The sequence below is a fragment of the Homo sapiens genome, chromosome 5 (assembly GCF_000001405.40).
Source record: "Homo sapiens chromosome 5, GRCh38.p14 Primary Assembly".
Taxonomy (NCBI): Eukaryota; Metazoa; Chordata; class Mammalia; order Primates; family Hominidae; genus Homo; species Homo sapiens.
In genome coordinates, this window is record NC_000005.10 from 73,291,936 (window position 1) to 73,305,799 (window position 13,864).

Consider the following 13,864-nt stretch of genomic DNA (forward strand, 5'->3'; position numbering starts at 1 on the left):
CGCTTCTGTTGCTTCCAGGAAGATTGCATACACATGTAAAACCGGAAAAACGTTAATGAAGAGAAAAACTAAAAGGTAGGAGGGTGTACTCAAATATCAAGTTCTCCTCCATGTAGTAGCTGCCCCTGCCTTCATTAATAGAACCATTAAGATCCTTGTTGCTCCCTGTGCAACAATAGGAAGGGAGCTCAGGATATAGACTTAAAACGGAGGACACAGAACAGTGGACGCCAGCGGTGTCCAACTTTTTGGCTTCCCTGGGCCACCTTGGAAGAAGAAAAATAGTCTTGGGCCACACATAAAATACACTAACGATAGCTGACAAGCTAAAAAGCATCACTAAAAAAACTCATAATATTTTAAGAAAGTTTATGGATTTGTGTTGGGACTCATTCAAAACCATCCTGGGGTGCATGCGGTCCGTGGGTCATGGGTTGGACAAGCTAAGTATAAGCCATATGTTACCTTTTGCATTAAAAAGGTGGGGTAGAATAAAAAATACACTTACATTTACATGAACACTGGGGCTATATAGAAGAAGCGAATATAACTGGCTATACACTTCAAGGCCAGTGAAGTGGAGAGCAGGCACCAGTATAGGAACGAGATGTCTTGATTCATACTTTCCATGTTGTCTTGATTCTTCAACCATGTGAATGTATTAATTGTTTTTTAAATAAAAAAAAAGTAATGATTCTTGTATATAATTAATAGTAATTGGAGCCTTGTAGCTCAATGATTATCTTGCCAAAGTTTGGTGCAGGTAATATTGACAATTCAGGCTGAGAGAGCTACTGTCAGCGCCTTAGAGTAAAGAATATGAATGAAAGAGGGCACATTATTACACTCATGTCTTCACAAACAGAATCAGAGACTGAGGTGTTTCCAATTCTGGAGGTGGACTCCTGATTCCGTTTGCTTCTTAGTAATCACACTAAAATTGTATGTTTTATACAATTTCATACTAAAATTGTGTGAAAAATACGGCACCACGCTGGGTGCAGTGGCGTGTGCCTGTAATTCCAGTACTTTGGGAGGCCAAGGCAGGCAGATTGCCTGAGGCCAGAAGTTGGAGAAGGGGGCAAGACAAGCTTCTGGAATGCTGGAAATGTCCTGTTTCTTGATCTGGCTGCTGGTAACGTAGGTGTGTTCACTTTGTGAAAATTCATTGCACCACACATGTGTGATTTGTGCACTTTCCTATGTGTACGTTTGACACCAAATAAGAAAAAAGAAAAGGAAAAATATAATGCAACTCTATATGCGTTGTCATGGAAAGATGTGCAGGCCCTGTCATGTAGAGGAGCCCATGTTATACAGCCCTTTCATGTGATGCTATAGATATCAAGCTATAAGTACCTGCATGCCTAGAGAGTTATTCTGGAAAGTGGTTCTCATAAATGTTAGTCATGCTTACTTCTGGGTAAGATTTTGAGTTGTTTGGGGTTTTTTTTACACTTTCTTCTTTGTGCTTTTTTGTATTTGCACTTTTTTTGCACAGTGCATGTGTCTTTTATATTCAGAAAGTGGGCTTTTATTTTTTTAAACCCCTCATTAATTAAAAAGAAAATTTTAAACCTGCTTTTTACTTTCTATAGAGGCAAACCAGTAAATACCCAGTGCCTATCAGCCACGGACATGATGTATGTTGTGTGCATCAAATACACTTTGCAGTTGTCCCTGTTTCTAAGTATTTCCAAGGCTGGTTCTGAACAGAGTAGCCACCATCTTTCCCATCAACAGATAACACACCCCTGTCGTAAAATCTGAGGGTGGATCAAGGGAAGAGGTCTGAGTCCCCAAAAAGAGTTCAGGGTAAATGCTGTAGACACCGTAGGCTGGCTGTTCTTCCTGTCTTTGAAGCAGAGAGCAGACCGGTCCATTCATTAAACCAAGGTAAGCCGGGCGTGGTGGCTCACGCCTGTAATCCCAGGACTTTGGGAGGCTGAGGCAGGTGGATCACCTGAGATCAGGAGTTCGAGACCAGCCTGGCCAAGATGGTGAAACCCCATCTCTACAAAAAATACAAAATTAGTCAGGCAAGGTGGAACGCACCTGTAATCCCAGCTACTCGGGAGGCTGAGGCAGGAGAATCACTTGAACCTGGGAAGCGGAGGCTGCAATGAGCCGAGGTCGTGCCATTGCACTCCAGCCTGGGCAAAAAGAGCAAAACTCCATCTGAATAAATAAATAAAATAATAAACCAAGGTACTCTCCTTACCGTTTCTCTTTGTTCCATCTCTAGTCCACTGTGCTACCTCTCTTTGGCTCTGGCAGAGGGGATTTCACCAGTTTATTCCCAGCCCTGCACTATCTAACTTAGAGAGTTTCCTATTTCTCTTTCAAATCCTTTTCCACCAAAAGCCTCCTCATGTTCACATACTGGAAAATATTTAAATAGGGATAAATTACTTTCTTTTACCATCAAAGCCCAAGCTTAAAAGATAAATAACCCTGAGTGAGTTAACATAGGACCTTAAAATTCACACTAAGGTGTAAATGTCTAATAGGTATGATTTCTAAAGAGCACAATTTGGTTGGGGGATGGGAAGGGGAAAGGGAGGCATGGATCTTGCACAGAGTTGGCCAGCTTGCTGGTGTTACCTGCTTTTCCTCCACCGCAGCTCCCGCCCCCACCCAGGCCTGCTCAGAAGAACCCAAGCCACTCAGAAGCAGGAGGCAGCCTTCACCCCAACCAGACCAATATCCGTTCCAGACTCAGGATTACAACAATCTGGGAGAGGGTCAACCAAGTCAGAGTCCCACATGGCAGAAGAGCTGCTTTAGCTTAAGACTCTTAACTCTTTTTCTTCGGGGCAGGAAAGGTTTGAGCCAATGAAGGATGAGGCTTTCCAGGCCCAGGACACAACCTTGATCCAAGGCCTAGTTGTGGCTTTAATTTTTGTAAATCAAGCCTCAAGTTTTTCTTCACTCTTTTAGCCAAAGATATGTTTCCCAGGATGCATGAAATAAATAAATAAAATGTACCAAATTAGAGATTGTGAGACATGTATGTCACTTAAATCCTTTGTAGGCAAGCAGGAATCACTGATTCACTAAATTCTGTCCTAAGTTTTTTTTTCTCCTAACCATTGTCTTCATAAGATCATCCCATACTTGGAAAACATTTATCTAATTATCATCACACACAATGGGCCCGCTGCCAGCTGTTTTTTATTTTAACTTCAGATTCTTTCCAGGGTGTTTGTTTGTTTTTTTCTTGGGGGTGGGGAGTAGGAGAGAGGAGTGTGTGTGTCTGTTTTTGCTATTACACAGAACTGATCAGATTTCCTTTTATAATCACAATTAAACTTCCAGACCCAATCATCTGAATATTTCATGTTTAGAAGATCTCGGTGCACATTGACTTAGTCTCAGAAACCTTCCAAGAAAGGAGGTGAGAAACTGATGGGTGAGGTCAAGTAAATCATTCTAGAAACATAAAGAGCATTGATGGACTAGAGGAGCTCAAGGCTGACTCTGAGCTCAGTGTTCTCTCCATCAGCTGAGACTGGGTACCATGAGGTTAAGCCTAAAATACATTACTGTAGTCCCTCTAACAGGAAGGGTAGTCCTAAGAAAGCAGGGCCTTTGTACATCTTGTCCACAGCAGCCCCCACACAGCAGTGGACAAGATGCCTCATCCCCAGCACCTGCTTGGTGTTTGATGTTGTAGTTGGTGAGCAGCAAGTACTAGTAGAAAATGAATTACCTTTGTCACTCTGCCCCCTACAGTAGCGCAAGTGGAGATTCATAAAATCTCTCTACAAAACAGGACTGTCAAAGGACTGTCAGGCATTTAAAACCTGGTCAGACCAGTGGCAGCTCTCAAAGGGGCTTAAGGACAGCAATGTGGCTGACGGGAAATATGTTGGGCTTATGGATGCACTGGCACAGCCAACACAGTTTTACTTCCATTACATTTTATTTCAGGTTTCCTGATGGAGTCTATGGGGAGGGGCTCAAACTTCTTCTCCACTTCTTGGCACCACAGTGGCTCAGATCAATAGGCTAGGGATGTGAAGCTGTGCTCATGAAAATTGGAGGACCAAAAAAAAAAAAGACCGAAAGATGCAGGGGTCTTGGGAGAGGTTTCCCTCTGCTGCAGAGTCGGCCTCCCTACCCCTGAAGAGCAGGGAGTATGAGGAGGAATGTTTATGAAATGAAATCTGGATAGTCGCCCAGACCTTCAGCTATAGATAATATGTAGAACATTCTAAAGGGACAGCATTTTCATCAGGCATCTAAAACCTGTCAGAAATGGAGCCCTAAGTTACCATTCACTCTTCCACTGCGTGAACAACAGCCCATGTGGCCCACCCTCACCCCACCTCCCTGAGTAAAGTGGAGATGGCTTAAAATAACCAGTTCTCTTTAAATGCATATGTATTCTAAAGGGGCTAATCCTGTAAATAAGGCATGCCTCTGTGAGATTTACTTTTGTGAGAATCTAACAACTAATATTAACGAGTATTTAGATTTAGGAAAGAGAAAGGTACTTCAGTATTTATTGGACTTTTCTTGCTTTCTTTTTTTGGAGGGGTGGAGAAAAGAGGATTAGTGAGGGGGATGTTATTAAGTTAAGGAAAACATTATTGCTTGTTTTGTATGCGCGAGGAATTAAGTTTATAATCTAGGAGAGGAAACAGGGCAAACACCGGAATGACTCTGAAACACATCTGCGTCAATGGTAGCAAACAAATTACTGTGAGAGTCAGGGGACGGAAGCGTTTTGCAAAGCCTTGGAGGATTTTGACCAGCGGAGATGGGAAAAGGGGATGCCAGGCATGAGAAGGTTCAAGAGAAGGTCTGGGGGCAGGCGAGCCAGAGGAATCAGACTGCTGGAGAAGGTGAGACAGACAAGTGCTCACAGGAGAGGTGGGCAAGAGAACTGGCATGGGAGCCAAGGTCATCCCAGGGAGGTCCGAGTCAGACAGGCTCGGGGCCATGACCAAACTTCTGCAGTGGATCTGGTGGGATCTTGTTCAATCAGCAGTCTGCAGCCTGGTGACTCAGAGGCAGGGAAAACCACAGAGGCTTTTGGTGAGATAAGGGACATCAAGTTGGCCTTAGACAATCGCTGTGGTGGTGAGTGTTGGGTGGGCTGGAGGGAAGGGAATGGAAGAACGGGAGGCTGGCTGGCAGGCTGTCCCAGTGATCCAAATGAGGAGGAATTGAGGACTGGCCTACAGAAGGGACATAGGACATGGAGGAAAAAAGACAGGAGAGGCAAAGCATGGACTTGGAAAATAAGCAGGGAGAGGCGACTGGCCTGCGCCTTTACCCGGAGGAGTCCTTTTGAGCTATGCTGAGTTTGACAAGCTAGCAGGCCTCAAGAGCACTACTAGGAAAAGGGGGACACACACATGTCAGCCTCTAAGGAGGTGGAGGCCCTCTTGGAGGCTTTGAAGAGTCAAATGAACAGGGGGTACCAGAGGGTGGAAGCAGAGCAAGGAAAGAAGCGGGGTAAGCCTTTTGCAAAAGCTTTCAATTTTCTCTAGAACAATTTACAAGAACCCACTAGGGAGGGGAAGTGGGAGCCTGAGGGGAACCCACTAGGGAGGGGAATTGGGAGCCTCTGTTACATAGTTTTATATCTTTCAAATTTTGAACTTCTTGCATATACAGTTCTACCTGCTGTAATTCAATTTTAAACGGTTGGGCTCCAGAGCCCTGGTGGCTGCTTGTTGTAGCAGACACCCTGCTTTTCACCCACATGAAGCTCTGGTGGCCAGCCCGGGGTAGGTGTTCAGAAACCTCAATGTTTCACTCCTTTCTACCCTCTATCTCCCAGATAGTTGAAGGTTTTTTTTCTGTTTGGGATTCCACTTCATTACCTACACCGAAAAAACATAACAAAGTTCTCGGTTTCATCCCAGACGCCTACAGGTCAAGGACGTTTTGGCTAGGTCCTCTCTCAGCTGGCATCAGTGCCAAAATCCTGCGGAAAAGAAGAGAGTCTGAGAGAGTAGGGAAAGAGGTTGGTGGTGGCTGATTAGGAAACTGTGGAGAAAAGTCCTTGTCATTGCCCCAGGTAGAGCCGACCTGGGAAGCAGCATCGTCATTGGATTATCTCGGTCGTTCCCGCTCACTTAGGCCAAGCAGGCGATGGGTGTCTCGGTTCTGCCTGGAACTGCCGTTTTTCGGAGGGTGGGCCGCACCCCGCAGTGCGTCCAACTCTCCCAGCTGCCTAGATGTTCCTTGGGCTTGGGACAAAGCCCCCACAGCTTCCAGGTGGGCCCGGGGCGCACCCTAGCCCAGGATGGGGTGGCCAGCTTGCTCCCTGCCCCTCTCAAAGGCTGCCCATTCGTCCTTAATCTTTCTGGCAGATTCCACCAGGACTCCTTTACCATGAATTGTCCCACCGGGGGCCCCTGTGCCTTTCCGTCGCTGGCACCGAACTGCGTGGCGAGAGCTGGGACAAAACGCCGGAGCGGCCCGGCGGGGGACGCACAGGCGAGTCTCAGGGCCCCGCCCTCTCCCGTGTCCCCCTGTTCTGCGCGGGCGGGCTGTGCGGGCCTGGCCAGGAGCCGGGTCGGAACTCCGTGCAGCGATGGCAGCTCGGGCGCGCGCCTTGAGGAGCCGGTGGGGTGCTGGGGGACGGAGAAGGTCCCAAGGTCCGGGGCGCGCGCTTTGCTGCCGCTGGAAGCGCGCCCCAATTGTCGCGCCGCGTGGTTCGCTCGGTTAAAGCCCCGACCCGAGGGTTATCGAGCTGCTTCCGCCCAGTGGATACGAACCCGGACTGTCCTGAGTGCATTTTTTTCCTCCCTTATAGTCTGTTAAATTGACTAATAAACCCAACGCAGCGTTCTCTGTGCAGCTTCAAAAAACTCAGTAATTTCGTTAGAAAACGTTGAAATCCGACCCCAAAGTATTCAGCCCAAATGTTTAGTTAAAGTAACCCCGTGGGTTAATAAACTAAACAAAGGCAACCCATGCAAAACCGGAGCAATGAAAACCAGGCTACATAAACGAAGGGAAGTTTATAAGAACTCTTTGGGAGGAAAAAAAGAGAAAAGGCACCGGGCACGGAGGTTTAATGTGAAGCATGTGAGCGGGGCTCAGTTTACAGGTACGCGGGCCGATGGCGAAGAGCGCTGTCAAGCGGCCTCGAGGATTTCGGGGGGTTTGCGCCGCCGAGGAAACCCTACCCGGACGAGGCGAGCAGCCTGGTGGCCCTGGCGGCCGCGAGCTCCCGGCTGCCACCGCTAGGCGCCCCCGCCCGGCCCGCCGGCGCTCCGAGGGCAAACCCGGGCGGCACAGCCGTGCGCCCTGGGCTCCGCGCGCCCAAGGAAAGGGCTTCCCAGTCACCCTGCGGCGACGCTTCTCCCTCCCGGGAATGACACCTTCGCTCGCTTTCACACAGCCAAGCCGTTGGAGAGGCAGAAACAGTGGGTCCCGAGCCCGCAGGAGAAGTTCCCATCCCGCCCCTCTAGCCCTCGGGCGTTGGCAGTGGAGTAACAAAGACGCTGCCGCGCCGTTGACCCCGAAGAAGCTCTGATGAAAAGGAGGGCGGGCCGCGGGATAGGAGTTTCTACAATTAGTTTTTTCTGCCTTTACGTTCCCAAGAAGAAGCCGAGGAAGTAGAAAGGAGAGAGATCTGGGAAAGGCAAGATCCAGAAATCAGGAGCCATTATGTTTCTCATTTTGGAGAAAAACTGTAAAACAGCTCGGCCTCTTGTCCACCTTGCCCCGAAGGCAAGTCTGGATATGAAAAGAAAAAGGCGGGCAACGGAGGAGATTTATTTTTCATTTTAACTTTCCTCTCCCAGGCTTCCTCACCCCCTGCCCCCTTCGATTCCTAGGAGGGGCGGCCCCAGCCCTCGGAGCCGATTCTCGGCGCTGCGCTAGGACATCAGAGGCGATACAGGTTCGATGTTAAATGAACCTTCAGGCCGCCGGACAATGGCGCAGACCTCACACGGGGGCACCGCGCCTTCCCCCAGCCGTGCTCGGCTCCCGCCGCTTCTTTATTTCACGTGGTGGAATCCTCCGCGTCTCCTACAGCCGCCGAACCAATGGGCAGACCGGGGAGAGCGGGACGCGCAGGAGAGGGTTTGAAAGGAGGTGTGGGTTTTAATTTTTAAAGAGCATAATTGGGCTGAGGAGGGTTATTTTTTCCTTGGCCACGGGAAAAAAAAGAGGAAGAAGGGGAAAAAAAAGTCAGGCGAAACACAACACATTTATCTATCAACCGCTAGACAAGACAAAGAGGTTTTAACAACAGTTTGAAAAGAGCGGCCTGTGAATGGTTACTATTCAATTTGTATTTTATTCCCCGCTGGTCATGGAATTGAGATCAGAAGAAAAAGTGAAAACACATGGCTGAGGTCAGGGGATCAGAGAACCACCACATACAGCAAAGGGAAGGGAAAGCAATGGGAACTCGTGTGAAGAAATGGATTATATAAACAGAGCTTACCATCGCCTGCGCCCCATTATCCTATAATTTACCCTGCATGGGAGCATAGAAATATATTAAACTAGTGATAGGTTTTACCATTTCTTTACAACCCAGCCTCGTGCCAATCAAGCCTACTATATACTTTGAGACATGTTTAGAATTCTTGGACTAATGTGTTTATTTTAAATATCACAGGGAAATTATTACATCACTAGAAAATAATGCCAGAGCGGGGGTCTGCCGCCCTTTTGAAGTCCTGCTGCAACGAAACATGATTTTAATTACATAATCACTTTGAAACTATAATTATACAATAAACGATGAGGATTAAGCGGGAAGTATAGAGTACATTAAAAATTGCTTAGGTCTTGAAAAAACAAACTGAACATGCAGGGGGAAAAGAAAGAGATGAAATCCGAGGTCCTGGGAGGGGGGTTGATAAATCCTGCAATCGCTTTGCTCTGAGCTGCGGCGGGAATCGGAGCCTAGGGCTCTCTTTGCCTGGGCCAAGGGAGCGGGGGCGATGGCTGGAGTCGTGTAGCCGAGGAGAAGCCCGTAAATCTGAGACGGAATCAAAGAGAAGCGCGAAGGATGGCTTCGGGTTCGTTAGCTAACCTTTCTACACGGAAACAAGTAAACAGGGTTGTTGCCTTGGCGTTTACTAAATTCATTTACACTGAAAACCACATGTATGACACAGAGAGGTTGAGCGTTGCCAAGGACTGCTTTGTTTGCTCTTCCCTTCCAGGAGGAAGGGAACGAACGACACGAACGGCGTCGTGGGTACCCTGATGCCCACAATGAGTTTATAAATAACTGCGCATAGGTGGCGCGGGCATCCATCCCACCGCCACTGCGAACACCCCTGGGCACGCCTTGTTCCCCGGGTGCACACGCCTAGCGCGCACTCGGTTTCGCACCAGCTTTCTCTCCCTAAGCTCCTTTCCAGAAAGTTGCTCCGCTGCTTAATTTTGCTCCTGTGTTTGTCTTCAGGTGAGGCCAAGGGCAGGTACATGGTTCTCCCTTCAAAATATAGAAACTTGGCTAGGCCCAGAGTTCGCCGACGTGCGTCTCCCTCCCCTCAGCTTCCATGAGAACTTCTTCCCAGAACTTCTACAGAGCCTGGGGGCGCAGAAACCGGGTCCTGGACGCTGGTCCTCCTTGCCTTCAGATCCTGATGGGGGTTGGAGGGGGTTGCACTGGAGCCCCGTGGATGAAGAGTTCTAGTCCTGAACACAGAGTCCCGAAAGATTTTGGAAGCACCCTGGAGACAGAAGTCCCACAGGTAGAGGCTAGTGACTCTTTTCAGTAGCACCTACTTTCCCAAGTGGGCTTTGCCAGGCCAGAGCGCACTGGAGAGGGAGAGGGCGTGCAATTCCTGATTAGGGACTCATTTTTAAAAGGCTGGTTTTTATGAGCCTGGCATCACCAGCATTCCCTCCAAGGATAGCCTCTGCTCGCCTTCAATATTTTATAGCAAGTGCCCTGGGTGAGGGGGTTGGAATGCCAGTGTCTGGCCCATAAACGTCTCACATATAAAGAGTTACACGCTCCCATTTCAACCGCGGCAGAGGGGAATCCAGGTGCAAGAGGACACTCCAGCTTTTGGCTCAAGCAGAAAATTATGATTGAAAGAAGAAGCTGCGATGTTTAAATTCACCCGCAATCTGGAAGATGTTTTGTCCAGGAACTCAGACATGAGGTGTTGGGAGAAAGGAGAGAAAGTGACACTAAGAATCTTTCCTTGCCTTCACTTGGGCCTCATGATCGCTCCCAACCCTGCCCAGTCGCCCCACCAGCACGAGGCAAATGACTGTCTTCAGCTCCGAACATTAATATTAAGACATCAGCATTGCATTAGTCTGCAATGGACCATCAACGATCAAGAAAAAAATACAAAGGAGAAATGAAATAGCTCATCCGAAAAGTCCTACTGTCATCGTGTTTATTTTTTGCTTTGCTAAGCCCAAGATATAATTTACTCACTGCTCTCTTGCAAACAAAAGGGCCGTGATAGCCTGGCAACGTTGAAGAGCCCCTCTCAAAATCCCCAAGGAAATTACAACTGGGCAGGAATTCAGGAGCCGTTTTTATACCAAGCCCGAAGCGCCAACTTGCACAGTTCCTTCCCAGGATGAACACTGAAGAGGCCAAAATTTAAAAAAAGGAAGGAAGGAAGGAGACTCTTGAGGAGTAATAATAATAAGCATTATTTATCTGCCTCCTACTTAATACAAGCAATTTACCTACCTTACCTCTTTCATACTTACAGCAAAGCTATAGGGTTGGCTGGGCATGGTGGCTCAAGCCTGTAATTCCAGCACTTTGGGAGGCCGAGGCGGATCATTTGAGGTCAGGAGCTTCAGACCAGCTTAACCAATATGGTGAAACCCCGTCTCTACTATTAAAAAAAATAAAATAAAAAGCTGTAAGGTAAACATTGTAATACCTACTTTATTGATAATATAAAATACTTATACGATATTTATTATATGCCTAGCACTATGGTGTTTTACATTCATTTATGCCTTACAACATCGCCATATAGGGAGGAATATTATCCCCATTTTACAGAAGAGGAACTGAAGCACACAGAGATGATCTAATCTGTCTTAGGTCACGTGGCCATAACTGGCCAGGGATGGATTGGAATCCAGACTTGTGATATCTTGACACACTATACCACCAAAGGAAGTGACGGGCTGGGAGAAGTTGGGGCTTATCCGAGGTTCCAGGGAGGACTCCAAGGAGCCGGGACTGGAGCCCATATCTTGAGAGTAGGGATTGTGGTGCGCCGCCGGTACTCAAGGAGCCACCCGCGCGCAATGTGGAAGGGCGGCGAGTCGCCCTCGGGGCCCACAGCGCCGTCGGGCAAAGAACCAGAGGCGTGGAGCGAATGCAGCGCCCGGGAGTCAGGGCTGTTAGTGGCGTGGCCCGCCGGGCATTGAGCTGTTTCCTCCAACGCCCGGTCCCCCGCGGCCTAGGCCCAGTGTTTGCTTTTGCAGATACGTCAGAGGGAACATTCAGGAGGGGCGGGCTCCCAGGCTCCCAGGAGACCGCCCGGAGCCTCCGGAGCGCGACGAGGCGCGGGGCCTCGGAGATCTGGCCTGCCAGATTGAGGGGGAGGGGAGGGGGCCTGGCCCAGCAGCTGGACAGGCGCGCAGTGCCCGCAGCCCGCGAGTGGGCGCCCAGCTGGCTTCGCACGGGTGAGGGGCTCAGCCTGCACTTCCCTCCTCCACCCCGACCGCCGAACGCGTCCCGGCTGGCTTCAGAGTGCGCTTCTCGTGGACGTGCTGCGCGCACCCTAGGGAGATGCGCGGCGTCCGCGCGGGTCAGCGCCCCAGTACCACTCCCCAGTGTACTCCCCAGGTACACGCTTCCCTTGCGCGGCGAGTTTCAACTCAGGTCAGAACGGAGCTGAGCGGTGGGCGGAGTGGAGAAAGGTCCCGGAAATTGGCCAAGAGGGGGCGGTTTCGAGGTAGTGCCTTCGAAGTGTTGTCCAGACCAGCAGGGAGGGTCGCCTCCACCTGCGGGGCCTCCTCCAGCTCCACAAGGTAGCCCCGTAGGGACTTGCAGATCTGCCAGACCTAGCAGTGAGACCACTGCTCCCACTGAATGGCGCCGCCTGCGGGCTGGCCCAAGCTCTATGCACCGGCTTTATCTCATTTTCTCCTCACCGTTAATAACTGGCAAGGCAGTGTGATCACCCTACTTGGAGAAGACATCCTGTTCTAATGGCTTAGCATAGCGCCCATTACTTCTAGGGGAGTAACACATGCCAGTTCCTCCCATTTTATAGGAGGAAGGCACCAAGAGGGTAAACAGTCTCAATAGACACAACCAGTAGGTGCCTGAGTGTCCACTGGAATGGGTCTGCGGGCAGTCACCTGATGTCTGGACCCCTTTTACTTCTTCCACTGACCTTTGGGAGGCCAGTGTTTCAGAAAAACTCGGGGTGGGAGCTGTGGGTAGAACTGGGAAGATGGAGGGGGAGGAAGGTCCTTCGCAGAAAATCGGAAAGGCAGAAGGCCCATTAGAAGGCTAAGTTCTAGTTGGGCAGGGAGCTTTGAATCATTACTATACTCAAATGAGAAGCACTTGAGTGCCAACCACTTGTCCAGTGCTGTGCTGGGCCCTTCACAGATGAGCTGTGTTTTCCATCTTGGCTGCACATGGGGATTGTTTGGGGAATTTTAAAAATCTGATGCCCAGAGCAATTAAATCATCATTTCTAGGAGTAGGACCAAAGCATCATTTTTTTTAAAGCTTCCCAAGGAATTCCAATGTGCAACCATGCTTGAGGACTTCTGCCTTGGGGAAATTATCTTAATCCTCACAACTCCTCCACATAGCAGATACCATTACGATGCCTATTTCATCAGTAAGAAAAGCCAAGGCTTAGAGAGGACCTGTATTTGGTCCGAGTCAGCCCAGAGACTAGCACAGGTTAATCTGGCGTGACACAGCAGACATCCAGCCTGTCTGGGCTGAGTCCCCTTCTAACTTTCACCCCCAGGAGTTTACTGTGCTGGAGAGACAACCTAAGGTCACAGCAGGAAGAGGTAGGAAGGCTTCTGAAGTTTCACAGCTTCAGGCAGAGAGCTATATTCAGGGTCTTGAGTACAGAGGGAGGCAGGATGGGAAGAAAGGGAAAGTAATAGCTTTGGTTTTCTTTGGGAAAAAGTAGGTTAGGTTCCCAGATGACCCTGCACTCCAGAGTGCCCTGTCTGGGTGTCTATTACTTGAAAAGGTGGCATGTGATGACTCAAGCCCAGCCACATGGATGAAGAATCACCCCTTAGGAAGCCTGGAGTGGTGAAATGAGCACTGGACTAGGAGTCAGGAAATCGAAAACCTATCCTAGCTGAGCCATTGGCTGGCAGCATCACCTTGAGCAAGTCATAATCTCTGAGCCTGTTTTCTCTCCTGTAAAATAAAGTGGTTGGATAGTATTATCTCTAAGGTTACTTGCTGCTCATACATTTATGGTTATTTCTGGCCCTGGTGTGAATAAACTTAAGTCTGGATTCAAGTTGGAAATACAAATGACAATAGTTTAGCATCTTCATGATTTCAATTGCTTTTCAGATCTTCTCTAAAAGAAGGACTTGCTAGTTCCATTTTGACAATTAGGGAAACTTAGGCTCCAAGTTATTCAAATTCCCCTAGTAGATTCTACTTCTACTCCTGGTAACGTGTCTCCTCTCAACCCATCTGTTCAGGTCTTATAGGTCATTCTGTGGTTGGAGAACCTCGGGGCATTCAGAGAAGTAGGGCACTGGACAGAACAGGGCAGGCAGCTTAAAGCCTTAAAAACACCCTAAATAAGCTGCAGAATTTAAGCAAGGTCAGGGCAAATTTTGTCTGTGGGAAGGGAGTTGGCGGATGGAGAACTAGTCTTCTGAATCAGAGACTTTTCTCAAAGTCTTGTGTTTTTTTGTTTGTTTGTTTGTTTTTCAT